The sequence below is a fragment of the Homo sapiens genome, chromosome 17 (assembly GCF_000001405.40).
Source record: "Homo sapiens chromosome 17, GRCh38.p14 Primary Assembly".
Classification (NCBI taxonomy): Eukaryota; Metazoa; Chordata; class Mammalia; order Primates; family Hominidae; genus Homo; species Homo sapiens.
The window spans coordinates 76,695,617-76,711,196 of NC_000017.11; the positions used below are offsets into that span (position 1 = coordinate 76,695,617).

Below are 15,580 nucleotides of genomic sequence, written 5' to 3' on the forward strand. Positions count from 1 at the left end.
CTCAGAGTGGATGAGAAAGCCACGCTGGGTCCGAGATGGGCTTGCCAGGCAGATGTAGAGAGAAGGGCATCTGGGCAGAGTGCACAGCCCATGTAAAGGCATGGAGGCACGGAACACCTCGGCTCTTCCAGTGGCTCTACAGACTTGGGTATGATTGCAGGGTGGGTGTGACACAGTCAGAAATAGTGTGCAGAGGCTGGGTGTTGTGGCTTATGCCTGTAATCCCAGCACTTTGGGAGGTTAAGGCAGGTGGATCATTTGAGGCCAGGAGTTCAAGACCAGCTTGGCCAACACGGTGAGACCCCCTCTCTACTAAAAAAATACAAAAATTAGCTAGGTGTGGTGGCGGGTGCCTGTAATCCCAGCTACTTGGGAGGCTGAGGGAGGAGAATCTCTTGAACCCAGGAGGCGGAGGTTGCAGTAAGCCGAGATCGCACCACTGCACTCCAGCCTGGGTGACAGAGCGTGACTCTATCTCAAAAAGAAAAAAAGAAAGAAAGAAACAGTGTGCAGAAATGCAGGGTCTGCAACCACAGAGATCATATACAGGACACTAAAGCGTTTGGTTTCATTCCTCAGGAAGTGAGAAGCCACCTGAAACTTTCAAACAGGGATAAACAAGGCTGGGCGCGGTGGCTCACACCTGTAATGCCAGTACTTTGGGAGGCCATGGTGGGAGGGCTGCTTGATGCCAGGGGTTTGAGACCAACCTGGGCAATGAAGTGAGACCCCCATCTCTATAAAAAATTAACAAATTAGCCGGGGGTGGTGGCATGTGCTTGTAGCCCCAGATACTTCGGAGGCTGAGGTGGGAGGATCGCTTGAGTCCAGGAGTTTGAGGCTGCAGTGAGCTATGATGATGTTACTGTACTCCAACTGAGTGACAGTGGGAGACCCTGCCTCTAAAAAAATAAATAAAAATAAAAAATAAACAGGTGTCAATACAAATTTTTTAAACGAAAAAAATAAACACGGACAAACAGAGTGAGAGCTGCACTTGGGAGGCTGAGGTGGGAGGATTGCAATGGGGCAAGAGAAGAGGCAGGAGGAACTATGAGAAGAGGGTACAGAGCTCAGGGGAGAGATGATAAAGGCCCAAACTGCGATGCTAAAGGCACCTGGCCTTCAGCTCAGCGTTGAATGAATCCGTGAAGGTGCGGCCAGCCAAAGGCAATCTCTCCAGGGTCTCATGGTCTGAGTCCTCCCCACCATCAGGCAGCTGTGCCATGGTGGGTGCGACCAGGATCATTTCCTGGAGGCGGCACGAACCCAACAGAGTACGCAGCTGATTCTTCCTGAGGTCTCAAAGGAAACGGAACAGAGCAGCTGCTCGAGCGCTGACTCAAACCTCACCCAAGGCCATCATCACCGCGGAGTTCCTGTCCATGCCCTTGGTCCCAGGAGTGTTCAGGCTACTCGGCTCATGGGCTGAACTGTGTTCCACGCCCCAATTCATATGCTGAAGCCTTGGCCCCAACTACCTCTCAGCCTGACTCTATTTGGAAACAGGGCCTTTAAAGAGGTGATTAAGTTAAAATGAAGCCATTAGGGTGGGCCCTAACCCAAGGACTGCTGTCCTTATAAGAGGAAACTCGGACACACACAGAGACATGAGAGTTGTGAGTGCACAGAGGAAAGACCATGTGAGGAGGCGGAGAAGGCGGCCAACTGCAAGCCAGCGAGACAGGGCTTAGGAGGACCCGAACCTGCGGACACCCTGAACTTGGCCCTCCAGTCTGCAGAACTCTGGGAAAAGAAACGTCTGTTGCTGAAGGTGCCCGGTCTGTGGTGTTTTGTTATAGCAGCCCTGGCAAATGAATACATCATGTTTCTGATGAAAGTCAATCAATTTCATGGAAACAGTGAATTGAGACAGGCAGCTGGCGTCACCCTGGCTGGTCCCCAGGGCAGGCTGGGCTGAGCCCAAGCTCCATCACTTCACTGATCAGAGTCTCAGCATTTTATGACTGAATAGAGACCACATTTTAATGTCATGTTCTGGGATAATTTTCTAATTCAGCTTTTCCCTCCAATGGAGGAGGTGGAGGCGGGAGGGGGAAGGCAAACGGGACGTGCCTCCTGACAGCCTCCCCAGTGCTAGGAGCCTAGGACCAGGGTGCCCCGGAGGCCAAGCTGAGGGGCCCGGCCAGGCTGCAGTAGCTGGGAGACACAGTGAACCAAGCTCACGCCCTGCAGGCTGCACGCTGCCATTTATGGCTGCCCTGGCTGATTCAAGCTAATTCAAGCGTGATGCAAAGTGCTGAAGTCGGGAGAGGGAGAGAGGGGAGGGGAGAGAAGAGAGGGATAGATAAGGCGGGGGGAGGGGAGAGAGAGAGAACACTAACAGAGGGAGAGAGAGTGATAGAGACAGATTTCTGCCTGCGTGTCTGCTGCCCAAGGAGATGGTTCTGCTGTGGGGCAGTGCAAAGAAGGTCTCTTGTGGCCCTGTGGCCACCAGAGCTGCCGCATGCTGTGACTGCACCAATCCCACTGGCTAATCCAGAATGACTTTAGAGGACAGCGGCTCCAGGAGGCAGGCCGTTCCTAACTCCCAAGGGGACACCTGTCCCTCCCCTGCCTGCAGCAGGCAAGGATGGAGATAACAGGAAGGCGACAAGGGGCCTGCCCAGGCCCCCCAACCCCAGAATGGGCCGGGCCCAGGGCTGCCTCCACAGTGCCTGACAATGCTCTCACTCCTTCCAGAAGGACTCCATTAGCCAATCAGCTGCTCATCTTTTGCAATGGGCGGGGGGGGAGCAGCAAAGCCCAGCTGGCGCCAGCTCCGGGGGCTTGGTGGTGGGCAGGGAGGGCAGGCTGGGGCAGGGGTCACCTCTGTTCCTCCATACCCGGCAAAACAACTCAGCCATCTCCCCCTCCAAACTACAGCTCCAGGCTGGGGACACGCAGGCTCCACTCTCTAAATCCGTATTTGCAACTGGATGAGGCATGTCCCAGGAACTTCTGTCCAGAACCTAGTAACCCAAGTCTCAAACTGTCCCCCTCTCACTTGTCCAGTTTTTCTTGGCAGCCACAGCATCTCTGACACCTTAACATGGCCTGGGAATGTTGATTCCAACCTGACTTCCTTCCTTTCTGTTTTTTTTTTTTTTTTTTTTTTTTTTTGAGATAAGAGTCTTGCTCTGTTGCCCAGGCTGGGATGCAATGGTGGGATCTCTGCTCACTGCAACCTCCGCCTCCCGGGTTCAAGAGATTCTTCTGCCTCAGCCTCCCGAGTAGCTGGAATTACATGTGCATGCCAGCATCCCCGGCTAATTTTTGTATTTTTAGTAGACAGGGTTTCACCATGTTGGCCAGGCTGGTCTTGAACTCCTGACTTCAAGTGATCCGCCCACCTCAGCCTCCCAAAGTGCTGGGATTACAGGCGTGAGTCACCGCGCCCAGCCCTGACTTCCTTTCTATTCTGAATTCTAGAGTCTCCCCTTCACTCCAACAGGCTTCTGGCTTCACCCCTTTGTTCTCCTGCTACAACCATTCAATGCCTTCAGGTGGCACCTACATCTGCTCTCCTCCAATTCATCCTTTTTGGGGAGACGGACTCATTCTGTAGCCCAGGCTGGAGTGCAGTGGTGCAATCATGGCTCACTGCAGCCTCAACCTCCCTGGGCTTAAGCAACCCTCCCCCCTCAGCCTCCTAAGTAGCTGGGATCACAGGAGTGTGCCACAACACCCAGCTAGTTTTCTTATTTTTTGTAGAGATTGGGTCTCACTATGTTGCTCAGAGTGGTCTCAAACTCCTGGGGTCAAGCCATTCTCCTGCCTCAACTTCCCAAAGTGCTGGGATTACAGGCAGAAGCCACCACACCCAGCCCTCATCCAGCTTTAAGAACATCTTCAAATGCCAACTTCATAATGTGTTTCCTGCTCAAAACCCATGCCACCTGCCTACATTGCCTGACCTTGTTCAATTTCAATAATCTCTGTTTCTCCAAGTTCTACTTCCAGATTCTCCTGCCATCAGATTGGGTGAGGTCTCTCTCCTCGATGGCTAAGAACCGAGGGTGCCACTGGGTAGGGGTGGTGGGCTGGGACTTGGGGTGCTCTTTGCACCATGGCCTCAGGAATGTGATCTGTCCTTCCACATTCACCTCTGCACACACCCCTCTCCTTCCTCTGTCTGGGCAGGGGTCCCCCAGGGTCATAGGACCTGATTTGGAGGCCCTTTAATTCTACCCTAGGTTTGCAGAGACTGCTGCAAGGAGGAGGGGACAGAGTAAAAGGGGCCTAGACTGCCACCCAGAGCAGCTCTGTTTTTGCTTTATGTCCTGGGCTTCCATAAGACACTGAAGAGGCAAGAAGGGATCCAGTGTTTTATTATTATCATTTTTTATTTATTTACTTTTGAGACTGGGTCTCACTCTGTCACCCAGGTTGGAGTGCAGTGGCACAATCTCGGCTCACTGCAACCTCCACCTCCTGGGTTCAAGCGATTCTCCTGCCTCAGCCTCCCAAGTAGCTGATTAGTCCCAAGTAGGGATTACAGGCATGCGCCACCACACCTGGCTTTTTGTATTTTTAGTACAGACTGGGTTTTGCCACGTTGGCCAGGCTGGTCTCGAACTCCTGACCTCAGGTGATCTGCTCGCCTCAGCCTCCCAAAGTGCTGGGATTACAGGCGTGAGCCACCGGACACAGCCAGGATCCAGTGTTTTAGAAAATGTTAGAAAACCACTGATCTAGTGTGGCTTCCGCCTAAGGAAAAACAGTCGCTGATGGAAACTTGGATGAACTGCTGGTATCCCGTCTCTGTCTGAACGCTTCTGGCACAGGAAACTCACTACCTTACAGAGCAGTCTTCCTCTCTGGGGCATAACATAACAGCACGAGGGCAAGAACTGCAGGCGGCTGTGCAGGGCGCTGGGCTACAGGCCTGGGCAGGGACAGAAACAAGATACCTTCCTGCTGCCCCAGGTGGGAGACAAAGAGACAGGACCTGCCTCTAGGCAGGAGCCCACAGCGATTTCTGTTCTTTCTTTTTGTGGCATTGTGGCGTATTTATTCAACAGGTGCCTACTGCGTGCGGGCCTGTTGCAGGAGCTGGGATGTGGCGGGCAAGGGCCCTGCTCTCCGGAACAGGCGTTCCACTGCGGCAGACAAGCCACACTGAAATAAAAGATGACCTCAGACCGGATGAAGTGCTATGAAGAAAGCCAAACGTGATGATACACTGGAGAGAGAGAGAGAGTGGGCGGGCGGCAGGCGGGGGACTTTACATCTGCTCACGGGGGCAAGGACATAGAGAGGAGAGAGGTGAGGACCGACTGCGCGGAGGCTCAGGCAGGGAGGGGTGTGCTGGGCAGGGTCCTGATGTGGGCGCAGGGCTGGCAGGTCTAAGCACCAGAAAGGAGTCTGTGGCTGTGGGGGGCTGGGAGCAGATGCCGAGTAGGCAGGGTGCTCCTGGACCTGGGGCTGTGGGAAGTTTGGAATTGCACGCGGAGGGCTGTGAGCAGGGGCCGGGGGGTGTGCTCTCTGCGCTAGGAAGGTCATGCTGGTTGCTGGAAGAGCCTGGCAGGGGTGGGGAGGACGGGAAACAGGGAGACCAGTGAGGAGGTCACTGAACAGCCACCGAAGCAGGAGCCAGAAAGATGAGAGGAGGGAGGGCTGCTCTCGGAACACACTCTGGAGAGAGGTGACCAGAATTGCAGACAGCAGGTCTTCAGGGCGTGAGGGAGGCGGGGACAACAAGGACATGTCTGGGCTTTTGGTCTGAGCAGCTGAGCGTCGGGGGGGTGGATCCGGGATGAGATGAGGAATGCCGGGTGGAGGGGCAGCAGAAATGAGGCACTTGTCAGCGTGTTGGGCTGAGGTGCACGTAGACAACCCACAGGCCAGGGAGCTCAGGGGAGGCGAGAGCTGGGCGTATAGATGTGGGCACCATCAGCTATTGATCAGGGGGATGGGGGCGGCAGGTGTGTTCTGGAAGGCAGCAAGGCAGGCCTGGTCCAGGAGTCCTGCAGTTGATATTATGGGCATGAGCTCTTCCAGCAGGGCAAAGAGCAGAGGGAGTGTGCTGGGTAAGCCGCAGACAAGGAGGGAGTATGTTGTGGGTGGGGGGTGTCTGGGGAGAGACAGGATCACTGTTCCTGCGAGGAGCCGACCCCATCCGGGCCCCAACCCCTGCCCAGGGCCGACTGCTGCGTTCCAATGTCCAGACCAAAAGCATCGTCCTGCATTCCAACCTCACATCCCGATCAAGGGCACATTCACAAGCCCTAAACAAACTCTTGCTCAGATGACTGGAGCATGCCAGATTCAATCCTATCAGATTTAACAGTTTCTGGCAAGTTCCTACAAAGAGGATTTAGAGGACACCAAAAGCTTCATTTAAAAAACAAAAAAGGAAAACAACAATAACAACAAAACACTCTTGGGCAGCAATCTGTACTCTCCGCAACCCCTATCAGGGAATATCAGGTCGAATTCTAGGTGCTACATTTTGAGATAGAGAAAATATAGGACAGAGAAGAAAACTAAGAGATGAATAAAATCTGATGGAAGAGGGTTGAAGAAAGTGACTTAATTTTATGGGGGAAAACCAGGTTGAACAATTTTGACCATGACCAGCTTGAAATATAGTAATAGAAGATAAGGGCTGGGCACAGCAATTCACATCTGTAATCACACAGCCTCAGGAGGCAGAGGCAGGAGGTTGGATTGAGGCCAGGAGTTCGAGACCAGGCCTAGGCAACATAGCAAGACACCATCTCTACAAAAAGTTTAACAATTAGCTGGCTGTGGTGGTGTGCACCTGTAGTCCCAGCTACTTAGGAGGCCGAGGCATGAGGATCCCTTGAGCCCAAGAGGTCAAGGCTGCAGTGAGCTATGATTGTGCCAATGCACCCCAGCCTGGTTCTCTAAATAAATAAGTAAATAAATAAATAAAAGAAGAAGAAGAAGAAGAAGACAAGTGGTCAGTTTTTAAAATCTCTTGAGGGCCGGGCGCAGTGGCTTATGCCTGTAATCCCAGTACTTTGGGAGGCCAAGGCGAATGCATTGCTTGAGGGCAGGAGTTTGAGGCCAGCCTGGCCTGTAACACGCGAAACTTCATCTCTACTAAAAATACAAAAATTAGCTGGGTGTGGTGGTAGGTGCCTGTAATCCCAACTATTTGGGAGCCTGAGGCAAGAGAATCGCTGGAACCTGGGAGGGGTAGGTTGCAGTGAGCCAAGATCGCGCCACTGCACTCCAGCCAGGGTGACAGAGCGAGACTACCTCTTAAAATAAATATATATATATACGTATATATATATATATATCTTGAGGAGGCCTCACCATAGGAAGAACTTCCTGAAAGGCTAACGGCTGACTTGACTATGGAGTAGGGTTTCCTGCTGATCTCCAGCAGAACACCACTGGGCTGGGGGCATTTTCTTCTCTTGAAGTGGGAGGATGGCTTGAGCCCAGGAGGTGGAGGTTGCAGTGAGCTGAGATTGCACCACTGCACTGCAGCTTGGGTGACAGAACCAGACCTTGTCTCAAAACAGCAAGATTTATCTCAGACTCTGAGTCCTCAGCAAATAAGAATCAGGCCAGGAGAAAAACGATGAATACCAAGGACATCACACAAGAAGGCCCTTGCTGAGAATCTGCCAGGGTTGTCTCACCCAGAGGTCAGGTTGGTCAGCGGGTTATAAATGTGCGCAAGGAGTTCTCACTTGAAAACATTAAATACACACATACACAGGCCACAAAACTGGAGCTGAAGGGTTGGGCACAGTGGCTCGCACCTGTAATCCCAGCATTTTGGGAGGCAGCGGCTGGCAGACTGCTTGAGCTCAGCAGTTTGAGACCAACCTGCAACATGGCGAAACTCCATCTCTACAAAAAATACAAAACTTATCCAGGCATAGTGGTGCGTGCCTGTGGTCCCAGCTACTCGGGCGGCTGAGGTAGGAGGATGGCTTGAGCCTAGCAGGCAGAGGTTGCAGTGAACTGAGATTGTGCCACTGCACTCCAGCCTGGGCGACAAAGTGAGACTCTGTTTTGTTTTTTGTTTTTTAAAGCCAGTTAACTTTAGCAGTAGGGGGTTGTATATCAAGTTTAGTGACACTAATGTTAACAAGTTCTGATAACCCAACACCATTGGACCAGCTGAGGTCCTAGCTCAAAAAAAAAAGAATACATTGAAAAAAACAAAAAACTGGAGCTGATGCCTGGAAAGTGGACAATCACTTCTGTAAGTTCTATGGCAATTCAGAGGCAACATTTGAAGATAAACAACTTCCGTGAGTCCTGCAATGGGTTTTCTCTGGGCCATCAAATCTCATGCAGACATTGTTTTAGCCAATGTAACCCTGTGTCCAGAAAACAGCATCATAGCCGGGCGTGGTGGTGGCCACCTGTAATCCCAGCTACTCAGGAGGCTGAGGCAAGCAGAAGAATCACTTGAACCCGGGAGGCGGAGGTTGCGGTGAGCTAAGATTGTGCCACTGCGCTCCAGCCTGGGCGACAGAGGGAGACTGTCTCCAAAAAAAGAGAAAAAGAAGATAGCATTGCTTCTACCACCCCGCAGCAGGGAATAGAATGACTAGAATGACTGCTGCAGCACCCTCCAGCTTCCTTCAGATTTTTTTTTTTTTTTTTTTTTTTGAGACGGAGTCTCACTCTGTCGCCCAGGCTGGAGTGCAGTGGTGCGATCTCAGCTCACTGCAAGCTCCACCTCCCGGGTTCACGCCATCCTCCTGCCTCAGCCTCTCGAGTAGCTGGGACTACAGGTGCCCGCCACCACGCCCGGCTAATTTTTTGTATTTTTAGTAGAGATGGGGTTTCACTGTGTTAGCCAGGATGGTCTCGATCTCCTGACCTCGTGATCCGCCCGCCTCGGCCTCCCAAAGTGCTAGGTTTACAGTCGTGAGCCACCGCGCCCGGCCAGCTTTTTTTTTTTTCATGCCTGTAATCCCAGCACTTTGGGAGGCCGAGGCAGGCTGATCATTTGAGGCCAGGAGTTCAAGACCACCCTGGCCAACATGGCGAAACCCCGCCTCTACTAAAAATACAAAAATTAGCCAAGCATAGTGGTGCATGACTGTAATCCCAGCTATTTGGGAGGCTGAGGCAGGAATACTGCTTGAACCCAGGAGGTGGAGGTTGCAGTGAGCTGAGATTGCGCCACTGCACTCCTGGGCGACAAGAGCAAAACTCCGTCTCAAAAAAAAAAAAAAAAAAAAGAATGCTGGAAACAGTTCTGCATGAGGTCCCCTTAGAGAAGGGGCTTCTGAACCTGACCTCCTCATCCTGTTCCATACATCTGTCCTTAACAGTGGCAAGCCCAGTGTGGCCAAACGCAGGTTGTTCCAGAAATACTCCTAACCATCAGGGATCTGGCATTTCTCTGGAAGACGGTTTACCAGAGGCCCAAGCTGGTCTCCCTCCTCCCACAGTGTGGTTTGAGCCGAGTGGGAAAGAGCGGGGCTACAAAAAGGAAACTGTCTGCATGCTCACCATTTCATTTCTAGCTCTCCAAAGCTAGGTGGCTTTTTTTCTCAAGACATATTCTTTAAAAACATACTCCTTCTTGCTAAGCAGAAAATTCTAGCTGACATTAGTCTGTAACCAAGGCTCTTTCTCTCTGAAAGAACAAAGTTTATCTATTAGGAAAGCCCCTGGACTTCTTTCATATATGGAAAAAAATTAAGTTAGGCACTCAAACAACTTTACAAAAAAATACCCACTGGAACTACTGAACAGGGAACTCTACTTACAGCCCTCCAAGGCATCTTCTATTCAGTTGCTCTATATCGTTATAGTTATTGTGAATACAATATTTTATGTTCTACCTTTTTACTTATTTCATACTAATTTGCTAATGAATCCAATGTGCTAATTAATGAACATTTGGATTATTTCTAGTTTTTTCCCCAGTAAGTCACTGGGCCTGTTCTGGACTAAATATTTGTGTCCCCTGCAAATCTATCTGTTGAAGTCTTAACCCCCAGTGTGATGGTATCTGGAGGTGGGGGTCTTTGGGAGGTGAGATTTAGACGAGGTCACGATGGTGGAGTCCCTACAATGCTATGAGGGCCCTGATAAGAAGAGGAAGAGACATCCCTCTCTCTCTGGCATGTGAAAGTACAGCAAGAAGGTGGCTGTCTGCAGGCCAAAAAGAGAGCCCTCACCAAAACCAGAATCTGCCAACACCTCCATCTTGGACTTCCCAGCCTCCAAAAGTGTAGGAAATAATGCCTGTTGTTTAAGCAACCCAGTCTGTGGTATTTTGATATATCAGCCTAAGCTGCTTAAAGACAAGGACCTAAAGTGATATAAACAACTGGCAAATATCTACTTGGCCCTCCACTACTTGGCTTCTGAGATTTTGCTAAGAGAACAGAAAGTAGGACCACACTGCCATCACAAAGGCCCACACTGCCATCACAGAGGACCACACTGCCATCACGAAGGCCCACTCTGCTATCACAAAGGACCACACTGCCATCACAGAGGACCACACTGCCATCACAAAGGCCCACGCTGCCATCACAAAGGCCCACGCTGCCATCACAAAGGACCACACTGCCGTCACAGAGGCCCACGCTGCCGTCACAGAGGCCCACGCTGCCATCACAGAGGCCCACGCTGCCATCACAAAGGCCCACTCTGCCGTCACAGAGGCCCACTCTGCCATCACAGAGGCCCACGCTGCCGTCACAGAGGCCCACGCTGCCGTCACAGAGGCCCACGCTGCCATCACAAAGGACCACGCTGCCATCACAGAGGCCCACTCTGCCATCACAGAGGCCCACGCTGCCGTCACAGAGGCCCACGCTGCCGTCACAGAGGCCCACACTGCCATCACAAAGGACCACACTGCCATCAAAAAGGACCACACTGCCATCAAAAAGGACCACACTGCCATCAAAAAGGACCACACTGCCATCACAAAGGCAGGAGAGATGATGGGGAAGTTCACCTGCTCCTGGGTCATTCTGGGAAGGCTGGGGTCTCTGTAGCTTCCAGAGCCCACACCTATGGTGAACAGGTTGGTGAGGGCAGAGGACACAGGTGGACCTGACAGCAGGGTGACTTCAGGGGAACCAGGGCCAAGTCACATGGTTAAGACAGACAGATGAAGGCTGTGCTACCCACTCAGACCACCACCTCCAGAGTGTCTGAAAAACCAACCCCTTTCCCAAGAAATTTCCCAAAGAAGAATGTTGGCTTCTTTGTTCCAACATTCTCTTTTGAAAAATTCCAAACCTACAGAAAAGTTGAAATAATAATACAATGAATACCATACACCCTTCACCTAGATTCACCAATGGTTAACATTTTGCCATCTTTGCATTCTCTCTCTATACACACACACACTGTGTGTGTGTGTGCATGTAACTATTTGAATCATGACATGTCATCCCAAAATGTTTCAGCCTGCATCTTCCTAAGGATAAGGACATTGTTTACACAGCCATCTGCCGGTATCGTACACAAAAAATTCAGCGTTGATTCAATAAGCTTACCTAACACAGCCATTCATTTAAAAAATGTCTCAATTATCTCCAGTATGTCCTTTATAGCTCCCTTCTCTGATGGAGAATCCAATCAAGGATCAAGATTGTATTTATTTGTCATATTGCTTTAATCTCCTAAATCCCAATTAAATCTAGAAGAGTCTCTGTGTGCTTCATGACACCGGCCCACTGCCTTGCAGGAAGTCCCTACTCTTTTTTTTTTTTTTTTTTTTTTTTTTTTTTTGAGATGGAGTCTCGTTCTGTTGCCCAGGCTGAAGTGCAGTGGCACGATCTTGGCTCAACTGCAACCTCAGCCTCCTGGGTTCAAGTGATTCTCCTGCCTCAGTTTCCTGAGTAGATGGGATGACGTGCACGCCACCATGCCTGGCTAATTTCTGTATTTTTAGTAGAGACGGGGTTTCGCCATGTTGGCCAGGTTGGTCTCGAACTCCTGACCTCAGGTGATCCTCCTGCCTCGGCCTCCCAAAGTGCTGGGATTACAGGTGTGAGCCATCGCGCCCGGGCTCTAGTCTGTCTATGAGCAGAGCTAGGCCCCAAGTACCGAGATACTTGAGTCCTGGCACAGACAAGAAATTTAACTCTAGTGCTATTCAAATGACCCTTGACGCTTTGCCAATTACCAATGTTTGGGAATCCGACCATCCAGCCTTGCTCCAATCCACAAGTCCATTAGGTAAGAGGCCTGGCAATCCTAAAACCCCAACCTACACAGGAGCACCAAGAAAGCCCTGAGTCCTGGCCTGAAAAGAGGCCGGCTCCTGTTCTTGACTTCGTTGGCTCATGATTCTTTGCGTGAACAGGCCTTGCCTATAATGCTTCCTCACAGCCCACCCTGTGCTAATCCTTAGGAGAGAAAAGAGGTTCTAGCAGTATCATTCCGCTTCTCCTCAGCCTCCCTGCCCTGGCCTGTGCTGCCCTGGGGAAGCAAGAGCTGCACTGATCTCATCCCCATTTCTTTGGTCCATTTCCAGGGTCTCGGCCTATAGTAGCCCCTCCCCACTACTTTGTCCTTGGCCAAAGAGGGCACCGTGCACTAGGGGACGCTCCTGAGCGATCCCCAATAGCAGCTGAAGGCTGCTTCCCGGGGCGAGAGATCCTTCTCAATAATCAGCTTTGTAGTCAGAGGCAGCAGCTGCCCCAGCCCGCCCAGGCCTCCCTGGGAAGGGAGAGGACTGGATTAGAAAGGAGGCAGTTAATGGAAAATGAAGAGGGAGGGGAGAGGTGAGTTACACGCTGCTCCCCAGGGCAGTGACTTCCGAGCTAACAGCAGGTGGAGTTGCCCTCCTCCCTCGCTGTTGGTGGGGTTCGCTTAGGGACGGAGGGAGAAGGAGGCTGGCAGAGGGCATAGCCCCACTTCCCAACCCTGATTTGAGTTATCTTCCCCAGGGGGCCTTTCTCCCTATCTGTCCTCCAAGCCCCAGCAGTGTGATCATCAGAAGAAAGCACTGGAAGCTCTTGGAAACGCTGGAGTCCACTTCAGGACAATTTGTTTTCCTTTCTTTTTTTTCTTGTCACTGACTCGAAGCTCATCAAGACAATTTCTAAGCAGCTTCTTAGGTTAATGCCACCACTGGGAGTGGGTGGGATGACACAATATCTGTGTCCCCACAGCACCTGGCTTAATGTTTGCAGGCAGGAGTTTTGGGGGAGCTTTGGCCAGCTCAGGAAGGCCTGGGGACTTGAACCCAAAGGGGAAGGGCACTGACTTCAATTGAATTCTCCTGTGGGGTGGGTTCTCTCTGGAGGGTGCCTTAGCGGGAGGACAGACACAAGCCTCAAGTCATCCTCACTGGCACCTATGTCATGGGGGCTGCCTGGCACGCGAACCCCCATACTGCCTTGTCCTTCAGAGCACCCATTCAGCTTCAGAGGACGTGCATTCACCCAGACAGTGGCAAATTATGCGAGTGGCCCTATTTAAACACCACTGAACCTATTCCTGTAGGTACCATGTGCTGAGAGCCGAAAGCCTTGTAGAAAGTTCTTTAAGCGCTGTGCCCCACAGGATTGAGCTAAGACAGGGCGCCGCTAAAGGACATTTTGCACTTCAGTCCAGAGCCTGGTGTGGGTGATAAAGGGCCAGCCCTGTAAGGCCAGGACTGACTGAGTGTGCATGACGGCTCCAGAACTGTCTAAAGGCCTCTCCTGCTCCCGCGAGACCTCGATGGAGGCAGGAATCCCAAATATGGGAGCAAACACAACAGATCAGCACATGTCCAAACCGCGCCCCCTCCACCATCACCGCGTGAGGTCTGGAAGCCCACCCCAAGCAAGAACGGCAGGGCCTGCCCCTGCTCCACCCCATTAAATGTGGCTGGTTAGAATCCTCTCTAATGACACAATTAGTCACCCACTTGTCAAGCAAAGCGCCTGCTCAGAGGGGGTCTGGCGCACTTACTCAGCAAAGAGAAATGCCTCTGAGCACAGCCTGGCTGCCTCCTCCTCCCCCGAAGGGCTTCTCTCCAGGGTAAACCATTGTGTCCAGCACAGGACAGAGTGGGCACGCAGACACGCAGGCACGCTGACAATGCGCATCCCGGCTCTCCTCCCTTCCAAGAAAAGGAGCTCAGGGGTAAGAACAAGGGATTACAATCCGACTCGGAGACCCTGGCGGTGGCCTGGACCGGCCAAGCGTGGTGAACTCCAGGGAACATGGGCACACAGTGTAGGGGCTGGGATGAGTGGATGAGGGAAATCCGACTCCTCTCAGATATCCACAGGCAGGACAAGGTGGCCAAGGCCGAGCTGATGGACAGCATGGCGGGAGGCCTGGGGCAGAGGCAGGGAGGGCCGCTTTGGGGTGCTCACTGGTGCTCCAGGAGGGCTTTATCCTGCATCTTCACTCCATCCAGGCCCAGCTTACCTACAACCCGGGGGAGTGGGGGTAGGAGGGTGTTAGATGTGTAGCTTGAAAACGACAATAAAAAGGACTGCTGGGATCGGGTGCCTTTTCTTTCAGTCCCAGCCCACGGGCTTCACAAAACGCCACAGCACTGACTCTGAAATCTGGACTTCAAATTGGCTGAAAAAGAAAAGCCAGCTTTCCTCCCTCGCCCCCCGAAAGTCCTACTTTTTAAACATCAAGATAACTCTCATGGCAGGCCTGGAAATAAGCCACAGGCACGTGGATTTGGGAACCGGTGGGCGGGAGGGGTCAGAAGTGGGTGAGGAGCAAAATTCCAAGCCCTGGTCCCGAGGCCTGGGAGCCAGCAGCTGCGGAGCACGCCCTGGGCTGGGAGAGGCCGAGGGGAGGGGAGAGCAAAACACCTCCAAACAAACTCCTTCGGGCTCGCCCCTCGCCACACTTTCTGGGGGAGGGCGGCGAGTTTGCGGGGCTGCGGCTTAGCATGGCGGGACCTGCATTTCCTGCGGGCCGCGGGTTCTGCGCTTCCTGGGGGCAGCCTGGGCTGGAGGCCGCGGCCCCGCTCCCTGGCTCGGCGGGGAACGGCAGCGGCAGCCGGAGCCCCGGGGGTGGGGAGGGGGCCGCGAGGGCCCCGGTGCGTACCTGCCTCGCCTCCACCGCCTGCTCCTCCGCCTCCGCTGGCGCCGCCGCGGGATCCCCTGGCCCTTCGGGCTCCCCCGGTCCCGCAGGCTCCCCGAGCTCCCCCAGCCCCGCGGGCTCTCCAGGCTCCTCCGGCCCCGCGGGCGAGGCCGCCGGCTCGGGGGCGCAGGGGCGGGACGGCGCCGGGGCCCCGGTGGCCTCGGCCGGGGGCGCGGGTTCCGGGGGCGCGCGGGCAGGCTCCGGGCTCGCGGCCGCCCCACGCCGCACCAGTAGCCAGGCGAGCAGAAGGGCCAGCGCGGTGGCCAGCGCAGGCAGCGCGGCCAGTAGCTCGGCCGGCGCCTCCATCGCGCCGCGGCCGCCGAGTGCGGGCCAGCTGGGACCCCGAGGGAGCCCGCCGCGCCCCGTCGCCGCGCCCGGTCGCCGCGCCCCGCCTCGGGGCGGAGCCCCCATCGCCGCGCCCCGCCCCCGCCCCCTCCGGCCCCGGGAGGGTGACGCACAGGCTGCGGGCGGGGGTGTTGAGGGGGCAGAGCCCTGACCACCTGGGAGGCACAGGAGGGCCAACCCCTGCCCGGCCTGGGCAGCCTTGACGCTTTGG

The 15,580-nt window shown here is 53.5% G+C and overlaps 1 protein-coding gene and 1 pseudogene across 4 annotated transcripts in view, besides 7 other annotated features; both read right to left on the reverse strand.

Annotated features, from left to right (window-relative positions):
* MXRA7 (matrix remodeling associated 7) overlaps window positions 1-15,349 on the reverse strand; it is a 38,415-nt gene extending 23,066 nt beyond the window's left edge. For 3 of the 4 annotated variants that reach the window (NM_001008528.3, NM_198530.4, NM_001008529.3), the window contains exon 1: window positions 14,989-15,349. In NM_001008528.3, the coding sequence (NP_001008528.1) occupies window positions 14,989-15,330 (342 nt within the window). In that variant the 5' untranslated portion in view covers window positions 15,331-15,349. Of the gene's footprint in view, window positions 1-13,881; window positions 13,943-14,988 lie in introns of those variants that run through there. The other variant, NR_130926.2, reaches the window with a different exon arrangement.
* Window positions 1,537-2,090: an enhancer, noted in NCBI's record as "H3K27ac-H3K4me1 hESC enhancer chr17:74693235-74693788 (GRCh37/hg19 assembly coordinates)". NCBI's record gives its function as "activates a minimal SCP1, AML or CMV promoter by ChIP-STARR-seq in primed H9 embryonic stem cells {active_cell/tissue: H9 hESC(primed)}" and the evidence as "EXISTENCE:reporter gene assay evidence [ECO:0000049][PMID:30033119]".
* Window positions 2,091-2,644: an enhancer, noted in NCBI's record as "H3K4me1 hESC enhancer chr17:74693789-74694342 (GRCh37/hg19 assembly coordinates)". NCBI's record gives its function as "activates a minimal SCP1, AML or CMV promoter by ChIP-STARR-seq in primed H9 embryonic stem cells {active_cell/tissue: H9 hESC(primed)}" and the evidence as "EXISTENCE:reporter gene assay evidence [ECO:0000049][PMID:30033119]".
* Window positions 2,645-3,197: an enhancer, noted in NCBI's record as "H3K4me1 hESC enhancer chr17:74694343-74694895 (GRCh37/hg19 assembly coordinates)". NCBI's record gives its function as "activates a minimal SCP1, AML or CMV promoter by ChIP-STARR-seq in primed H9 embryonic stem cells {active_cell/tissue: H9 hESC(primed)}" and the evidence as "EXISTENCE:reporter gene assay evidence [ECO:0000049][PMID:30033119]".
* Window positions 4,520-5,024: an enhancer, noted in NCBI's record as "H3K27ac-H3K4me1 hESC enhancer chr17:74696218-74696722 (GRCh37/hg19 assembly coordinates)". NCBI's record gives its function as "activates a minimal SCP1, AML or CMV promoter by ChIP-STARR-seq in naive H9 embryonic stem cells {active_cell/tissue: H9 hESC(naive)}" and the evidence as "EXISTENCE:reporter gene assay evidence [ECO:0000049][PMID:30033119]".
* Window positions 5,025-5,529: an enhancer, noted in NCBI's record as "H3K27ac-H3K4me1 hESC enhancer chr17:74696723-74697227 (GRCh37/hg19 assembly coordinates)". NCBI's record gives its function as "activates a minimal SCP1, AML or CMV promoter by ChIP-STARR-seq in naive H9 embryonic stem cells {active_cell/tissue: H9 hESC(naive)}" and the evidence as "EXISTENCE:reporter gene assay evidence [ECO:0000049][PMID:30033119]".
* Window positions 6,035-6,538: an enhancer, noted in NCBI's record as "H3K27ac-H3K4me1 hESC enhancer chr17:74697733-74698236 (GRCh37/hg19 assembly coordinates)". NCBI's record gives its function as "activates a minimal SCP1, AML or CMV promoter by ChIP-STARR-seq in primed H9 embryonic stem cells {active_cell/tissue: H9 hESC(primed)}" and the evidence as "EXISTENCE:reporter gene assay evidence [ECO:0000049][PMID:30033119]".
* On the reverse strand, window positions 8,016-8,111 carry RNY4P36 (RNY4 pseudogene 36; annotated as a pseudogene).
* Window positions 15,371-15,580: a silencer, noted in NCBI's record as "silent region_9024". NCBI's record gives its function as "represses an Ori minimal core promoter by ATAC-STARR-seq in GM12878 lymphoblastoid cells {active_cell/tissue: GM12878}" and the evidence as "EXISTENCE:reporter gene assay evidence [ECO:0000049][PMID:35858748]".